This window comes from Homo sapiens, chromosome 12 (genome assembly GCF_000001405.40).
Source record: "Homo sapiens chromosome 12, GRCh38.p14 Primary Assembly".
In the NCBI taxonomy this organism is placed as follows: domain Eukaryota; kingdom Metazoa; phylum Chordata; class Mammalia; order Primates; family Hominidae; genus Homo; species Homo sapiens.
Window position 1 is genome coordinate 69,417,336 of NC_000012.12, and position 13,361 is coordinate 69,430,696.

At 41.9% G+C, this 13,361-nt stretch overlaps 1 protein-coding gene and 1 pseudogene across 1 annotated transcript in view; both read left to right on the top strand.

Annotated features, from left to right (window-relative positions):
* The window catches only part of YEATS4 (YEATS domain containing 4), a 67,330-nt gene extending 57,593 nt beyond the window's left edge, over positions 1–9,737 (top strand). Inside the window, exon 8 of the transcript XR_944742.4 lies at positions 6,666–9,737. The gene's annotated coding sequence lies outside the window, so the exon portion shown is untranslated. The remainder of the gene's footprint in view (positions 1–6,665) is intronic.
* On the top strand, positions 5,342–5,660 carry RPS26P45 (ribosomal protein S26 pseudogene 45; annotated as a pseudogene).

A 13,361-nucleotide genomic window follows, 5' to 3' on the forward strand; every position in this document is an offset into this window, starting at 1 on the left:
GTTTTGTTGAGAGAGCATCTCACTATGTGGCCCAGGCTGGTCTTCAACTCCTGAGCTCAAGTAATCCTCCCGCCTCAGCCTCCTGAAGTGCTGGGATTACACATGTGAGCCACCACACCTGGCTAGTCAGGTCTTAAATTATCAAGATCTTGGGTGATTACTTTGAGGCTTCTGAGCAGATGAGAACGTATGACCGATGCCTGAACATAAGGCTGCCTTGGTAGGAGGCTAAAAATCCTGTGACTCTACAGAAATCGGTTACAGAAGTCTAATTATTTGTGTTCACTAGTAATTCTGTGTTGTTTTAGAACTAGCTTTAAAATGAGGAAATACTTAATTTAATGATCACTACCCACGTACTGTGTTTCTGTGACTATTTGTTGGTGTTTCTGTGAAAACAACAGCAGCCGCTTGTTACTGCAGAAATGGTCCCTTTGGAAATCAGCAGCACTTCGTTTAACGCTGGCATTTTTGTTGCGTGTCTCCCCAGAAATGCTTGGCTTAATATTCTTACAATAGGGAAAAAAAAAAAAAAAAAAAAGCAATAAAAGCTTTTGAAGCCAAATGCCCCTTAAAAAAACTGCTGATGGGGAAATCTTTTCTCACACAGAAAGAGATTTCAGTTAAGATGATCAAATAAAATAAGCTATATTTAAAGTTTCTGGCTCTTTCGTTTACCTTAGTCAAATAAAGCTTGTGTATTTTAGAGATGAAATCAAAGGTCATTCTTCTGATAGAGACAGATTCTGGGGATTGTCTCCTATTTGGGAAGCCATTTTAGCAGTGACTTCAGCCTTGGCAGGTGATAATGCTGTTCAAGTCATATTCAGTAAAGGGAAGAGTTCCAAAATCTTTCATTTCTGTACTGAAGATCCTATGCTTGCAATATGTATAAGGCATTATTTACTAGCCAGCCTGGCCCATAAAGTAATGTGGTGAAACCCTGTCTCTACTAAAAATACAAAAATTAGCGGGGTAGGATGGCACACGTCTGTAATCCCAGCTACCAGGGAGGCTGAGGCACAAGAATTGCCTGAATCCGGGAGGTGGAGGTTGCAGTGAGCCAAGATCTTGCCACTGCACTCCAGCCTGGGTGACAGAGTGAGACTCTGTCTCAAAAAAAACATTGTTTATTGGTTTTCTGATCTGCACCAAATCTTGATTGTCAGTTTGCTCTCCTTCTTTGTTAAATGTCTGTGATAAACAAATGCTCATCTAAAACATTCATTTGTCAACAAAGGAATGTATGTGTTGGAGGGAGTCAACAACCAAGAATTAGAGTAATTGAAGTTGGTTTTTTTCTTCCACATATTTCCCTTGGTAGAATCTATCCCTGTGTGATAGCATTAACTCTCATCTGTTTCATACCAAACTAAAGCCTACATAATCTAAATGCATTTGAGCTAATCCTTCAACTTTGCTACCTTCATCATAATTGCCAATAAGTTGTAAATATAGCTGGCTTGAGCCAGGCATAGTGGTGCATACATGTAGTCCTAATTTCTTGGGGGGCTAAGGCAGGAGGATCGCTGGAGCCCAGGAGTTCAAGTTCAGCCTGGGCAACATAGTGAGACCCCATCTCCTAAAACATATATATATGTTTTATGTATAAATATATATGTACTAAATATGTTTTATATGAAAATATTTTTATATTAAATACATATATAATTTAAGCCATATATATATATATATATATGTATATGAGGCTTAAAATTTACTTTAGTCATTTCCCCTGCTCACCTCTGCTCATTCTTCCTTTAGTGCCCAATCCAAATGTCACCTCCTCTGAGGCCTCACTTTCCTGTTCTCAGTCATCCTCCATGAATAAATTCTCCCTATGCTTTGTATATACACCTATTGTGCTCATCCTATTTTACTTTTTTTTTTTTTTTTTTTTTTAGAGACATGGTCTCACTCTGTTGCCCAGGCTGGAGTGCAGTGGTGCGATCATGACCCACTGCAGCCTCAACCTCCTGGGCTCAAGACATCCTCTTTCCTCAGCCTCTTTAGTAGCTGTGGCTACAGTTGTGCCCCACCACAGCTGGCTAATTTTTAAAATTTTTTGTAGAAACGGGGTCTTGTTATGTTGCCCAGGCTGGTCTTGAACTCGTAGTCTCAAGTGATCTTCCTGCGTTGGCCTCCCAAAGTACTGGGATTACAGGTGTGAGCCACCACCTGGCCTCAGCCAACTTTATAGTCATGGGTTCATGTGTCATTTTCATTAGGTTGAATCAAGACAGGGACTATGCCTCATTCATCTTTGTATGCCAGGCCCCGGCTTAGTACCTGCCGTTATAGAAGGTTTTTATAAATAGTTGTTGAAGGAAAGAAAGTCATGTGTTGAGCACTCTGATGGGACAAAGGATAGAGAAGGAGTCAGTCCCTACTCTCAAAGAGCATACAATATAGTGAGCCAGAAAAGACCTGGGCATAAATACAATGCAAGAATGTGTGTGACAGATGGCATTGCTAGTAAGACATTTGAGAAAGGCCTCAGTGAATGCTGGGAGGACCTTCCAAACAATAGACCTGCATCAGCAAAGGAAGAAAAAACATGAGGTTTCTTTAAGTTGCCCAGGTGATGTTAGGTAGGTGTCAAAAAGCGGTGGGAGATAAGGTTGGAAATCTGGCTGGGCCTGAGTGGTTGAAGGTCAGAAGCTTTGGAAATTCTTCTTCAACTGATAGAGATCCACTAACAGTCTCTTAAGCACCAACAGTGGTGTGGAAAAGGTGGGTTGTCATTGTCTTTGAGGGTAAAATGTAACTGGATTGTTGAGAAGAAAGTGGACAAGAATCCTGACTAATTTTCATGGCCCATTCCCTCAGCTACTGAATAGAGAGCAGGAGAAAGACATTATCACAGCAATGTTTTAAAAAGATAATTTTTCCAGGATGCAAGGAAGGACATTTGGATGAGAGGGAGGAGGCAGGGAGACCAGGTGGGAAGCTAGATGTTATAAAGGCCTGAAGAAATGCTGTGGAGGTCAAAGGAAGGGGATGTGCAAAGGAAAGGGTTACTGTGAGAACTCCATCACAGTTAATTAATTGAAAGGGACCTGGTTTGGTTAGGGGGAGGGGGACAGAGGCAAGATGACAAGTTGTGTTTCAGATATAATATATGTAAGGTGCTAGAAACACAACCAGGAGGAGATTTCCATCAGATCATTGGAGATGTGTGAAAAGAACGTGAGGGAGAGACAGGGACAGAGAGAAATTTGGCAGCTCTTGACAAAAAGGGATGGATGGCAAAAGCTACATGACTCCACTCATCCCATGAAGATGAAGGGGATCCTAGCTGGAAAATTCCAGGACCAAACCTTAGGAGAAGCCTTCATTTAGGAGGCAGAAGGAACACAGCCAGCAAAAATGGTCAAAGGTGATAAATGTCATGTTATGTGAACTTTAACACAATAAAAAACACACTGGGGGAGAAAAAGAGGCCCATTAGCTACCACTCCCTTCCCTTCCATCCCCGGCCTCCCAGCCCCCAGTGCTCACCAATCTACTTTCTGTCTCCATGAGTTTGCCTGTTCTGGATGCTGTACATGGATGGAATAATGATGTCATTTGAGGTCTTTTGTGTCTTTCATTTGGCATAGTGTTTTTAAGGTTTGTCCATGTTGTGGCTGGCTTCACTACTTAATTTCGTTGACAAATAATATTCCATTCTAGGGATATGCCACATTTTGGTTTTTGTTTTGGGGGGATGGGGTCTCGCTATGTTGCCCAGGTTGGTCTCAAACTCCTGGCTTCAAGTAATCCTCCCACCTCAGCCTCTCAAGTAGCTGGGATTACATCTGTGAGCCACAGCACACAGCTCTGATATGCCACATTTTGTTTATCTATCTGTCAGTTGATGGATATTTGGGTTGTTTCCACCTTTTGGTATTATAAATAATGCTGCAATAAACATTCCTGTACAAAAAAGATAGATATTAAGAATCATCATATGAGAAGGTTATCAATGAACATGAAGCCAAAATTAGTAGGAAAAAAAGTTATAAAGGTGTGTCAGGCAATTACTGAGTAAAAACATTATTTTCCTTTATTGTGTAATGGTTTTGTATTTGTCAGCTATTAAAATTTTATATTATATCGTATTTTCTACTGCAAATTCGTATTCACATGTATACCTTAAAAAAATGGCATTAGGAATCTAGGAGAACCAGGAACATAAGGTCTAAGGAAGCCAAGCGGGGTGTAGTTTCTAGAGAGGTGGTCAGGAAGTACAGAGAGTTCAAGGACAATGGAGATGGAGCAAACACCTGTGTATCTCATGACTAAGAAATCACCAATGACTTTCAAGAGGGCACTTCCAGGTGAAATACAGGACAAAACCACAAGTCTAGGCGGCTGAAAATTCAAATGCTTACAAGAAGGATACTCTGACAACCTGGTGACCACATGCCCCACCCAAAGGTAGTGGCTAGCGGCTGTACCCACATCATTGTTGCCATGTAGAAAAGGTGGCTCAGACCAGTCAGCTGTGTGACCTTTATGGAAAAGTCTGGAATCCTCATTTTTAAGTGAAATTTCCCACTTTTAAAAACACCGTGAAGGTTGAGTAGAACACCCCTATAGGCTCTATCTGGTATTTGAGCTACCAGTTCTAGCAACCCCTGCTTTAAGGGCTTGCTTTGAGGCATTGACAACAGGACAGGAATCTTTTGAAATGTAAGACAGTGCAAGGGTATCCAGTCTGATGGGTGTGTTATGGTTGGGAGGAGACCAGAGTGCTAATAGGTATCAAAGGGAAGATAGAAGATTCTGGCGAGAGAGGTCCAAGAAGGGGGTGGAGGATGTGAGATCCTTAGGGAGAAGGGAGACCTTTTCCTTTGAGATGAGTGGGATGAAGAGAGTGAGCAACAGAAATGTTAGGTGTTGAGAATGAGGGTCAAAGTGAATGAAGGAACATCGAAGACCCTGAAATTAGTGTCTCAGTGAACTCTAAATAGAAGTAAAGCTCTCTCAGGTCCTCACTTCCAAGATGACAAAGAAAAGAAGAAACAGTGGCCAGGTGCAGTGGCTCACGCCTGTAATCCCAGCACTTTCAGAGGCTGAGGTGGGCAGATCACTTGAGTCCATAAGTTCAAGACCAGCCTGGCCAACATGGAAAAACCCTGTCCATACAAAAAATACAAAGATAGCTGGCTGTGGTGGCGCATGCCTATAGTCCTAGCTATGTGGGAGGCTGAGGTGGGAGGATCACTACAGCCCCGGACGTCAAGGCTGCAGTGAGCCAAGATGGCGCCACTGCACTCCAGCCTGGGTGACAAAGCGAGACCCTGTCTCAAAAAAAAAAAAAAAAAAAAAAAAAACAAGAAAAAGAAAAGAAGAAACTGATTGTGCCAAAAAGGGCCAAGGCCACACACAGCCTGTTCCCTGTACAACTGCACCCAATGTGTGCCCAAGGACAAGGCCATTAAGTTCGTCATTAAAAACAAAGTAGAGGCCATAGCCATCAGGGCCATTTCTGAAGTGAGTGTCTTTAACACCTGTGCTTCCCAGCTGTATGAGAAACTGCATTGTGATATGAGTTGTGCCATTCATGGAAAAGTAGTCAGGAGTCATTCTCATGAAGCCCAGAAGGATCCAATACCCCTCCCTGATTTAGACCTAATGGTGCTGTTCCATGACCTCCGCGAAAGCCCGTATAAGGTGTTTTCAATCTTAAGGATGGAAAACTATCCTCTGGAAAAAAATGAAATAGCAATTATACTTTGTTAAAAAAGTAGACATTGAGATCATCTGCTGAGGATGAGAGAGACAAAGCCTGGGCTTTATGCTGTGGCAGGGTGAGGAGTGTCTGAAATGGTCCCCAGGGTCAGGATCTAACCAGCAACAAATCAAACCAATAAAGACCTGGTTGAGTTTGAAAGCACACAACCATAGGGATTTTTCACTTAATCGTCACTTTTTAAGTGGCTGCTTCATTCTGGGTACCGGGCTAAACTCTAGAGATTTCCAGTCAAGTAAAGGAGATAGATGAAGAAACAAGTAATTACCACAGGGCTGTATATGTCATAAAAGGGGTATAAACAGGGCACTTTTGAGAAAACAGAAGAGGAACATCCTGGAAGGCTTTCTGAGGAGGAGGCATTTAAGTTTATATTTGAAAGATAAGTTGTAGTTGCTAAGAAAACAATGTGGAAAGCCAGAAGAGACAATCTATACAAAGCACTAGAAGGAGCAACAAGCATGGGGCATTCCGGGAATCTCAGCTAATTCCACAGATCTGAAACAGAGTGCCTTGGCAGATTAGGAGGGGGTGAAGTTGAAGAGCTGACACGAAGAAGCATAAATAGTCATGGAACTTGGACTTGCCCTATAGACAAGAAAGAGCCATAGAAGAATTTCAGGCATAACAGTGACATCATCAGTTTGTTAGAAAGAACACACTGGCTTCATCAACGAGGAGGCCAATTTTGATGTGCAATTATGAACCCAGCCCCAAAAGAAACATCTTGCTGGATCTAACTAAATCATGGCACTCTTAATCTCTTTATCCACTAATTAATCTAGGGTGGGGACATGCAACCCAGTTCTGGTCAATGGGGTATAAATGGATGTCTAAGGGAGCCTCTGGGAAAGAGTTATTTGGTAACAGAGAAATGCTTGAGAAGAAAGCATTTTATTGTCCCCTTGCTTCCTTCTCTTTCTAGATATTACTCTATGAAGATGTAATGTTTGGAGCTGCAGCGATCATTTTGGAATCATGAGGCAATCAACCTAAGAATGAAAGCCAACAAGTTGAAGAAAGCAGGACAGAATAAAGACCCTGGATTCTTGGTGACACTTTTGGTTTCCAAAACTACTCTGAGATGGCCAGCTTTGAACTTACCAAGTCAATAATGAAAGCTTGTATGGTTTAAATCATGATTAGTTGGCTTTTTTGTTAATTGCCACAATGCCTTATATGTGGCCATCACAGTAGAAAATTGAGGGAGCGAAAGATCCTAACCTGCTACAGGGGTCACTCAGAGATAGCCTCATTTCCATACTCAGGAGACAGGATGCATACTCTTGGTTAATCTTCTGTGTGTCTCATTAGTCTTTATCCTTCCCTTCCATAGTCTCAGCTGAATCAGATGAAGCTACTTTATTCATCTACATTTTCTTCTTTGTTGCTTTCCTTGTTCTCTCCCAGACGGAATTCATTTTTCTCATTTAAAGTCTGATATGGTTTGCCTTTGCATCCCCACCCAAATTCCATCTTGAATTGTAATCGTCAGGGGTTGAGGGAGAGACCTGGTGGGAGGTGACTGGCTCATGGGGGCAGATTTCTCCCATGCTGTTCTCGTGATAGTGAGTGAGTTCTCACGAGATCTGATGGCTTTATAAGGAGCTCTTTCCCCTTCGCTCTCCCTCACTTCCCTCCCGCCACCTTGTGAAGGAGGTGCCTGCTTCCCCTTCACCTTCTGCCATGATTGTCAGTTTTCTGAGGCCTCCCAAAGCCATGCAGAACTCTGAGTTAATTAAACCTCTTTCCTTTATAAATTACCCAGTCTCAGGTATTTCTTTATTGCAGTATGATAACAGACTAATACAAAGTCCCAGGGTCTTAGTATATATTTATTATTTATTTATTTATTTATTTTGAGACGGAGTTTTGCTCTTGTTGCCCAGGCTGGAGTGCAATGGCTCGATCTCGGCTCACCACAACCTCCGCCTCCTGGGTTCAAGCAATTCTCCTGCCTCAGCCTCCTGAGTAGTTGGGATTACAGGCATGGGTCACCATGCCCGGCTACTTTTTTTGTATTTGTAGTAGAGACGGGGGTTTCTCCGTATTGGTCAGGCTGGTCTCAAACTCCCAACCTCAGGTGATCTGTCCGCCTCGGCCTCCCAAAGTGCTGGGGTTACAGGCATGAGCCAGCGCGCCCAGCCGGGTCTTAGTATTTATTACAATAAATTGTAGTTCATTCGGAGGCCAGAGACTCTGTTTTCTTTATCTTAGTGCTTATGGCAGAAAGACTGGCAAATATTAATAATAGGTCCTCAGAAAGTGTGTTTTAAATGGAATTTTGAGAAAGGGGCCTGAATAACAATAAGGACAATCGTGAGCTTTTTCATGAGCTTCCCCAGATTTGCCTGACTGGCTTCTGAGCTGCTTGCAGAATGGACAGCTCTGGTGGTGCACACCTTCTCCTATGGAGTGACTACCTCAGGCATGGCCTCCATTGCGCCCACACAGTGAGAGCTGTAGCAGAACTGCTTCTCAAGTCAGTCCAACCAGACTGTGGAGTCTTTGGCACCTCCCCCGACTTCCAGATGCAGAGATAGCACTGTGCCTCAGGATGTGGCTTCCCCATTGGCTGCCTGGAGGGGTCTTTGCCTGAGAGTGCTAGAGAGTTATCACTCTTTGAGGTCTACTTGGACCAAAGAGAGACAGGAGGTGCAAAGGAGCCCACACGTTAAGTCATCCCCCTCACTCCTTGGTGGACCACTCTGTGCACCATAATTACATACAGCCCAACCAAGCAACCCACTGTGTGATCTCATGAAGCTGTAGCCCGCTTCCTGATGCCCCACTTTGCACTTGCTTTTTCTCCATCCCTGACTGACTTCCTTTTTACTCACTCTTGCTGCCCTGGAATTGTACTCCCTTCCTTCTAATACAATATTAGGCCAGGTGTGGTGGTTCACCCCAGCATTTTGGGAGGCCAAGGCAGGAGGATCGCTTGAGGCGAGGAGTTCAAAATCAGTCTGATCAACTTAGCGAGACCCTGTCTCTACAAAAGAAAAACAAACAAAAAATTAGTCAGGCATAGTGGTGTGTGCCTGTAGACCCAAATACTTGGGAAGCTGGGGCGGGAGGATCACTTGAGCCCAGGAGTTGAGGCTACAGTAAGCCATGATTGCACCACTGAACTCTGGCCTGAGTGACAGAGTGAGACCCTATCTCAAATAATAATAATAATAAACTATTTGTATATGCCCTTGCCTCCATCTTTGCTTTCTAGGCTAAGACAAAGAGTTATAGCTATGACTCAGAATCCATTTTCTTGTTGTATGTTTGTGGATATGACTTCAGTTTAAATTCTTTTTCTTTTGAGATGGAGTCTCACTCTGTTGCCCAGGCTGGAGTACAGTGGCGCCATCTCGGCTCACTGCAACCTCTGCCTCCCGGGTTCAAGCAATTCTCCTGCCTCAGCCTCCCGAGTAGCTGGGATTACAGGTGCCTGCCACTATGCCTGGCTAATTTTTGTACTTTTAGTAGAGACAGGGTTTTATCATATTAGTCACGCTGATCTCGAACTCCTGACCTCAGGTGATCCGCCTGCCTCAGCCTCCCAAAGTGCTGGGATTATGGGCATAAGCCACCGCATCCGGCCTAAATTCTCCTTTAAACATAGGTAACCAGGGATGCCAAAACAGCACAGGATTTCTAAACATTCTATTTGTTTAAGGAAACCATTATCTATGGGGGCATTTTGTGAAAAATCAATCTGTTCATTTTAAAAATAATCTTAGAAGAGGTGAAGTGAGGTCTCAAGGGTAGCAGATTAACTCCTAGGATAAGCAAACATTTAATTGTCCTTAATTTTAAACATTATCAGTTTGAGCTTGATCATGATTCCTTTAAAGTGGCTTTATTTCTCAACACATCAAGCATGTGTTGACAAGTTTCTTGAAAGAGAGTTGGAATAATAATTGAAAGAAAGATAATTATTCTTTGCTTGATGTTTGGCTATCTTAATGCCATCTAATGTCAATAAAAGTTACAGCAAATGCCCTAAGAGTATCTGAGTTATTTTCTTGTGATGGATATGAAACACTATATTACTTTTAAGCATTATTCTGTTTGTCACAGATTTCTTTTTGATGCAGTTAAATTTGTTTTATATTAAATACATGTAGAAGTTAAATATAATTAATAGAAATATCCTTAGGGGAAAAAATAAGGTTTGAATTTCGGTGGCAGCATAATCAGCTTGGATTTGTGGATGCCTCTGCCTGTAGGGGTCTGGAATCATTAACCCAAATAAATGAAAAGCATAATTTACGGTAGAGATATTAACCTACTTAATCTTACCTGACATAAGAAACAAAGTAAAAAAAAAAAAATGTTAGTGTATTGCTAAACCACCCAGAACAGAAACACATATACAAACTGAAAAAGAAAAAAGAGTAACTATTGGGTCTGGAAAGGACCCGCAGGGGAATTGTACAAGTTGAGAACCTACCAAGATAAAAATGGAGTACAAGAAACCTGGCAAAGATGACAATCTTGATAATTTGAATCTCAAATGATTTGATCATACTTTCCTGAGAAATACCCCATATGAGACTAGGAAATAATAGCATTCATACTGAAATATGTACATCTTAAATGCAGTCAGCTCTCAACCATCCCACTAATTGATGAGAGTATAGTGGGGCCAGGCAAGGCAGCTCACATCTGTAATCCCAGCACTTTGGGAGGCCAAAGCAGGAGGATCACTTGAAGCCAGGAGTTCGAGACCAGCCTAGGCAGCATAGCAAGACCCCGTCTCTACATAAAAACTAAAACATTAGCTGGGTGTGTCTGATGGCACAAGCCTGTAGTCCTTGCTACTTAGGAGGCTGAGGTGGGAGGATCACTTGAGCCCAGGAGTTTGAGGCCTCAGTGAGCTGTTATTATGCCACTGCATTCTGACCTGGGCAACAGAGTGAGACCTTATCTCTAAAACAAAAAAATTAATAAATAAATAAAAAAGAAATTAGAGTATAGTGGGCCCAAAATCAATCAGCAAATTTGTTAAATGCTAACTATGAGGATTAAAAAGGAGACTTTTGCCAAAAAAAACACTGCCCGGGTTCCTCCAGCTGTGCTCCCTGATCAAACTGGAAATTGCCAATGCCATTTACAACCTGCTTTATTCTTGAGCTTGCCTACTTTCCAGCCCCTCTGGAAAAGGAAAGATAAGAAGAAGTAGGGAGGGAATGGTAAGGGGGTAGGATGGTTCAGGGAGCAGAATTTTAAGAAGGCAATGGCCAGTGATCAAGTGTTGTTCTAAAACAAGAGGAATAAAGAAAGCCTTTGGTTACTTAGAAACAGTCATGATGTTCTTCAAAAGAGTAGTTTCAGACATTCCAACTTCTGGCCATAATGAAGTAGCTGGAACTGGAATTCACCTTGAAGAACTAGAAAAACAGACAAAATATGTGAAACAGCTGTTTCCAGACTTTGGATGATAGGTAATATGGGACTGTGATCCCTGAGATAATGCGGCCTTAAGATCCCCCGGGCTTTCTGCCTGAAGACACATGTCTAGTGATGCAGCAGGGAAGGGCACCTGTGTAAGACACAATGGTCTTATTGAGTTGAGGAGACCAAGATCAGAATTCAGGAGGGTTGAGGTAGCTGGAAATTGTAGGGCAGAGTTGCAGAGTTTCTCTCTCAGAAAGAGAGTTCCAGAAATCTGCATGGTGTCATTTTGAGCCTTTGCTGAATATGGTGAAACTCCATTGAGCGAAGAGAGATTGCGAACTGAACAGCAGTTCCTGAGCTTACGAAGGGCTGGGAATTGCTCAAGGGCTGACCAGCCAGAGGGGAGTGTCCTCACTGATCACTCGGAGCATTCAGTGAAAGCACTAGAAGGGCCATGCCTTGGAAATGTTACTAAACTGTTCCTAGGATAAAAGCTACTTTAGGTCTGCCCTAACAAAGCTTGAAAACAAATCCCAAAAGGGCCAAACTAAACCACAAGTACCTTTCTGCCTGCCACTACAAAACACGACAGTCTTTGAAGGAAGATGTAAGATCTAGACACTCAATAATATAAAACTGACAATGTTCAGCATCCAATAAAAAATGACTAAACAAGTCAAGAAGCAGAAATATGTGACCCATAACCAGAAAAATAATCACTCAAAGGAAACAGACCCAGAAATGACAGATACAGAATTAGCAGAGAAGAATATTAAAACACCTATTATAATTATTGTTGACTATTTAAATGAAAACATGAACAAAGTGAGGAAAGAAATTGAAGGCATTAAAAAAAGAGAGAGAGAGAAGTTTCAGGAGAATGACACCATACTGAAAAAAGAAAGGAGTGAAGAAGACAAAATTAAGGTAGAGAACAAAGACCATTTATTCAAGAAGTATAGCTGGAAAGACAGAAAGGGGTAGCAAGGCAAAGGCTAGGCAGCTGTTGGTTGGTTTTCTTAGAAAAAAAAAGAGAAAAGCAAAAAAGAAAAGCAAAAGAGGACGCAGCTGAGAAAGCAAGCTTTAATTGTTAGAGGAAATTATGTGAGGTTAATGGTTCTAGGAAGCTTTAGGAGAGAACTTATCTCTGAAGAGAAGAGGGATGATTTTATCCTGAGATAATTGAAAGAGGTAAACATAAAATAGAGACAGAAAGTTCAAGGGAATTAAACAAGGCCAGGTTAACTAAGGGAGTTTCAGTAAACAGGAAGCAAAATCCTTCACTAAGAGGTGACAGGATTGGGAAGAGCAATGTGTGAAAAAAAAAAAAAAAAAAAAAATGAGAAGGGAGAACCTGAACCAGAGACTGTGGGAAACAAGCCTCAGAGAAAATGTAAGAGATGAATAATGAAATCCCAGCACTTTGGGAGTCCAAGGCAGGCCAATTGCTTGAGCCCAGGAATTCGAGACCAGCTTGGGCAACATAGTAAGACCCCCATCTCTACTAAAAATAAAAAAATAAAAATTAGCCAGGCATGGTGGCGCATGCCTGTAGTCCCATGTAGTGAGGTGGGAGGATCATTTGATCCTGGGAGGTTGAGGCTACGGTGTGCTGTGATCATGCCACTGCTCTCCAGCCTGGGGGCAGAGTAAGACCCTGTCTCAAAAACAAAAATGAAAATATAAAAAAGAGATGAGTAAGAGGATTGCAAAGGTATAACCCCGTTTTCCCAACACTGTCAATTAATTAGATGCCAGAATTCATAGAAGGAAACCATTAAATGCAAAGGAGGAGTGATTTGAGTTTAAATGTTAAAAAGAAAACTACTGTCCTTTTTATTTAAGTGTGCTAAATCCTAGTGAACTTTCTGGAGGAATAATGATGCCAAAGGAGGAGAATTGTGAAGAAACAGTGGCCTAGGAAAGAAGGAAAATAAGTGGGAAAAACTTTGGATCCGTCAGACAAGAATAGAATGGCTGTAATCTTTAGACTACTAAAATTTTATTTTTATAAAACTACGTTTGTGAACTTGGATAATAAATCTGTGTATAACTGACAATTGGTTGTAATAAAAATGACAAAGTCAGTTACATTTCTGTGTTGTATAGTAAGGTGAATTGGGTCAGGACCCAGAAGACCTAATGTTGTGTGTGACTTCTGACCCTGGCCATCTTTATGGGCTAACCATTAAATTCTCTGAGTTTGTTTCTACATGTACAAAATGAG